At 55.1% G+C, this 5433-nt stretch overlaps 1 annotated feature.

Annotated features, from left to right (window-relative positions):
• Window positions 2749–2962: a silencer, noted in NCBI's record as "fragment chr17:75052409-75052622 (GRCh37/hg19 assembly coordinates)". NCBI's record gives its function as "represses an EF-1alpha promoter that drives an FKBP-Casp9 reporter gene in an ReSE screen in HepG2 liver carcinoma cells {active_cell/tissue: HepG2}" and the evidence as "EXISTENCE:reporter gene assay evidence [ECO:0000049][PMID:32094911]".

Below are 5433 nucleotides of genomic sequence, written 5' to 3' on the forward strand. Positions count from 1 at the left end.
GGCTCACTGGCCAGGGGAGTGATACAGGGGGGCACCTGGCACAGTCGGGCACAAGGTAGTCACCGCACAGCCACCACCACTTCCGTCATGGTCGGTATCATATAGCGGGGCAGAGATTGGGCTTTGGAGCCCAGAGAGGCCTGTGTTCAAATCGACTCTGCTCTGACTTGTGGTGTGGACTTGGCCGCGGGACTGAGCGCGGGGCCTGCTCAGGGGCCAGCGTCACAGGGAAGACAGTCCGAGCAAGCATGGGTCAGGGCGCTGAGGCTTCCTCCTGCGAGCCAAAGGGAAACTCAGCCACGGGGACTCAGGGAGGCCTGTGGGGCAAGTCTGAGCCTCCCTCTCGGTGGCCAGTGGGCCTCTCCTTAGGTGCCTGGGGCACCTTCTCACCCAGCAGCTGGCTGCCTGGAGTGGGCAGCCCCAGGGGCTGGGTGGTCCTAGCCATGTGGGTTGGACTCTGTCCACCATTCTGCCCTTTCTGCTCACTCAGGTTCCTGCGAATGGTGTCGGGCCACCGTCTATATCTTCTTCTCCTGCCTCAGGACACAGGGAACCTAGGGAACTCCAGACAATGGTCGAGGACTGGGGGAGCCCCCAGGGTTCCTGAGTCTCCTAGGAGGACAGTGGAGCAAGGATTTGTGTCCGCAGGCTGGAGTCAGGCTTGCATTTGATGCCCTGGTTACCTTTGCAGCATCTGGGACAGAGTGGTGTGGAGATAGGGAGGGGGTTTTGCCCTGGGCCTGCCCAGGTGTTACTTCACTTCCCCAGCACTCATCTGTCATGCCCCTCGAATCCACATCCGACTAGGAGGCCCTCCTCTCTGGCCACCTTTCCTTTCTACCAACAACCCCCTAGTTCTTTTTCTCTCTCTCTGCCTTCGCTTCCTCCACTCTCTCCCTGCCCTAGGATCCCAGCTCCATCCTGGAGTCAGAACCTGCAGGGGCTTCGTTCCTGCAGAGCATGCTGGGGCTTCCTTCCCGCAGGATGTGCAGGGGAAATCGTGATCTGTCAAATCCACGTTCACCCTCTCCCGATGGACTAGGAGAGGAATGGTGCGATTCCTTCCAGAAGGCCTTCCCCACGTGAGATAGGGAGAAAGAGAGAAGATAGGGCAAATTTTGTGAGGGAAAAAAGTACAAACCACTGGGATAGATGACAGCCATGTTCAGAGGCTGGGGAGACTGAGAGAGGAGAAGGAGGACTCTGGGGTAGGTGGTGTGTGTGAACACACAGACAGAGCCTGGGAGAGGGGCAGTGCTAGGGACTCTCAGGGGCTGGAGAGCAGAGGGGACGCGGCTGGGAAACTCCCAGGGAAGCAGGTGAGTGGGAGCTCTGGATGGACGCAGAGGAGACTGTCCTCCAAGCCGGGCCACCCACAGCACCCAGGGTGGAAACAGACAACTCGCAGCTCTCTTTCCAAGGTCGAGAGGTCACAGAGCAGAGCCAGGCCAGGGCCATAGCTCTGCAGGCCAGCAGGAGGAGCGGGGCAGCCTCCCTCTCCACCACCTCCCCCGTGGCCGCCTGGATTGCCCTCGGCTGTGCCAGAATCTCCAGCACACTCAGCCTGGCCCAGCCCAGGCCTCTCAGGGACTGGCCTCCCTGCCTTTGCCCAGCCTCCTGAAAAGCACAGCTGGCCCCACTCAGGAGCAGTTAGCCTGAGGGCCCTTCCTGTCAGCCGGTAGATCACTGGCTGGCTGCCTCAGTCACCACTTGGTGGAGGTGACTGCAGGTAAGCAGGCGCCTGGGAGTCTGGCTCGTGCCACCATCTGCATTTTTTTGTGAATCCTGGAGTATCTTGTCACATTATCTCTAACCAGTAGAGAGGCATGTGTGCACACGTGTGCATGCGTCTGTATGCTCTCATCTATGTGTATTTGAGTGTGTGTGTCTACATGCACCTGTGTGCATGTGTGTGTACCTGTGTGTGCATCTGTGTGCTTTGTGTGTGTGGGTATGTGTGTACATGTGTGCCTATGCATGTCTGTGTCTGCGTGTGTGTTTATGTGTATGTGTGCACACATGCATCCATGTATGTGTGTCTATGCACGTGTGCACATGTGTCTGTGCTTCTGTCTGCCAGTGCACATGTATATGTCTGTGCATCTGTGTGTGTGCACGTGTCTGTGTGTGCAAGTATACACATGGCTCTCTGCGTGTGTCTGTCTCCCTGCGTGTCTGTGTGTGTGCGTGCATGTGTGCTCACAAGCTCTGGGCGTGGGCCCTAGTGTCTGAGAGCAGGGATGAGATTGTTTTGCCTCAGAAAGCCCAGGGCAGAAACATTTCCCCCGCACGATCAAGGCCTTCCGTGGCTGCTCAGAACACACCGCGTTCCCGGCCGCACACGCAGTCACACGGGCTGGTGCACACTCACACTCAGGCCCGAGCCCTCCCGTCACACTCTTTGGTCTCCCGCAGGAAGCCCCCGGAGCCCCAGCCCACAGGCCTCCATTCCCAGCGGGTACCCCGGGCCCCACGCTTTCCTGTGAACCCTACAAGCGCAGCCTGCCCGCCCCTCGCTGGCTGCCTTCAGGGAGCCCCCGGAAAGCCGGGCCGGGGAGCTGGCAGGGACACCCCAGGTCTCTGCGTCCTGCCTTCCCGCGCCCTCAGCAGCCCAAGCCGGGGCTCCAGCAGGGAGAGCAAATGTTGTCTGCAGAAGGCGCCAGGCCTCCCCAGCTCCCCCAAGGCCTATTGCGAGCCCAGGCACAGGAAAATTGTTCCAAGCGCGCTCCTCATCCTTGTCTTCAGCCCTGTTGGCACTACCCGGTGTCAGGGATGCCTCCCTGCCCTCGCTATGAGAACATCATTTTCCTTCTTTTTCAGGCCCACGAAGGAGCTCCTCGCGGTGCCGGGAGCGCCCCCTCGTGGCGAAGCCGCGCAGGCACAGTGTCTGGGACACCTGGGGTCCAGGTGCCTTCCCAACACCTGAAAGGCGGGATGGGAGGCGGGGGCAGATGTTCACCCGCTTCTGTCCCTACTGATCTTCCTCCCCCCGGAGTCCCGGGTGTTGAGGGAAGAAACCTGCACTTGGATGCTTTTCACCGAGCTGAGCCCTTGGATACCTGGAAACACAATACCTCCCTGGGACTAATGCCATCCTCAGGGCTCACTCTGGATCCGGCTATACCTGTTGCAGCAGCAATTCTCTGGGAACACTTCAGAGCCCTCTTTACAGATTGTTTAGATTGGGTGGGGATAAGCTGGGCATGGTGGCTCACGCCTGTAATCCCAGCACTTTGGGAGCCTGAAGCAGGAGGATTACTTAAACCCAGGAGTTTGAGACCAGCCTGGGCAACATAATGAGACCCCATCTCTACCAAAAAAAAAAAAAAATAGCTGGACTTGGTGGCATGTACCTGTAGTCCCAGCTACTCAGGAGGCAGAGGCGGGAGGTCGAGGCTGCAAGGAGCCAGGGTTGTGCCACTGCACTCCAGCTTGGGTGATAGCGCAAGACCCTGTCTCAAAAATCAAAATAAAAGCTGGGGGCCAGGTGCGGTGGCTCACTCCTGTAATCCCAGCACTTTGGCAGGCTGAGGCGGGCGGATCACGAGGTGAGGAGATAGAGACCATCCTGGCCAACACGGTGAAACCCCATCTCTACTACAAATACAAAAAATTAGCCGGGCGTGGTGGCAGGCGCCTGTAGTCCCAGCTACTCGGGAGGCTGAGGCAGGAGAATGGTGTGAACCCGGGAGATGGAGCTTGCAGTGAGCCGAGATCGCGCCAATGCACTCCAGCCTGGGCGACAGAGCGAGACTCCATCTCAAAAAAAAAAAAAAAAAAAAAAAAAAATGGTGGGCGCGGTGGCTCACGCCTGTAATCCCAGCACTCTTGGAGGCCGAGATGGGCAGATCACCTGAGGTTAGGAGTTTGAGACCAGCCTGGCCAACATGGCAAAACTCTGTCTCTACTAAAAATACAAAAATTAGCTGGGTGTGGTGGCCCATGTCTATAATCTCAGCTACTTGGGAGGCTGAGGCAGGAGAATCGCTTGAACCCAGGAGGCAGAGGTTGCAGTGAGCCAAGATCATGCCACTGGACTCCAGCCTGGGCGACAGAGCAAGACTCCATGTTTAAAATAAATAAATTTTTAAAAATAAAAATAAAAAGATTGGGTGAGGATCTTGTGTGGTGGTGGGCGGTTGGGGGGGCGGGGGGGCAGTTCTCACCCCATCCAGAGCAGGCACCAGGGACAGAAAGTGTGACCCTACAATTTGTGGAACCAGCTCCTGTCAAACTCTCTTTGTCCTCTCAGAGGCAGAGGAAGGACAGAAAGAAAGAAGATCATTTGTCTTTAAAATTTTTCCAATGATAAACAGAAATCATTATAGTGAGAGCCAACGTCTGTATAGCATGTCCCATGTGGCAAGCCCTGTTCTAAATCTTTCAGACACATTAACTTATTGAATCCTCCCAACATTTTCAATGTGGAAAACTGGTAAAACACAAAATTACAAGGAAGGAAAATAAAACCCACAGTTCTATCATGCATTCCCTGCCAGTTCTTCATCTATGCATATGGATTTTTTAACAAAATAGTGATGGTGCCGCACAGTACACTTCTGCGTTCTGCCTTTTCTCATGGCCCAAGGTCATTTGTCTTGGGAAATACTCTTAATGGCTGCTTTGTATTCTGTCTTCGGAATGTACTGTCATTTATTTGACCATTCTGGGGGAAACTTCTGCTTTTACTACAAAAAGCCTGTGTGTTGGGAGCTCGAAGGGCTTGTTTCACTCCAGCCTCTGAGCCTGCTGTGTGTTCACAATGGTGTAGGAGCAGTGACAGTTTCCTAAACCCCCGTCTGTGGGAATCTCAGGTGTGTGTGTTACCTATGTGTGCAAGTGCCTGCGTGAATGTGTGTGTGTTTCCCGTGCTTAGACTTGCCGTATAAGTACTCATACTTCCTAGGAATCTGTCCAAAAGAATTGAAAACAATAGGCCAGGCATGGTGGCTCACACCTGCAATCTCAGCACTTTGGGAGGCCAAGGCGGTAGGATTGCTGAGGCCAGAAGTTCGAGACCAGCGAGGCCAGAAGTTCGAGACCAGCCTGGCCAACATGACTAAACGCCATCTCTACTACAAACACAAAAATTAGCTGGGCGTGGTGGCGTGTGCCTGTAGTTTTAGCTATTTGGGAGGCTGAGGCAGGAGAATTGCTTGAACTCTGGAGATGGAGGTGGCAGTGAGCCGAGATCGCACCACTGCGCTCCAGCCTGGGTGACACAGTGAGATTCCATCTCAAAAGAAAAAAAAAGGAATTAAAAACAATAGAAACAGCTGGGCACAGTGGCTCACACCTGTAATCCCAGGACTTTGGGAAGCCAAGGCGGGTGGATCACATGAGGCCAAGAGTTCAAGACCAGCCTGGGCAACATGGTGAAACCCTGTCTCTACTAAATTACAAAAATTAGCTGGGCATGGTGGTGTGTGCCTG

Source organism: Homo sapiens, chromosome 17 (assembly GCF_000001405.40).
Source record: "Homo sapiens chromosome 17, GRCh38.p14 Primary Assembly".
NCBI lineage: Eukaryota > Metazoa > Chordata > Mammalia > Primates > Hominidae > Homo > Homo sapiens.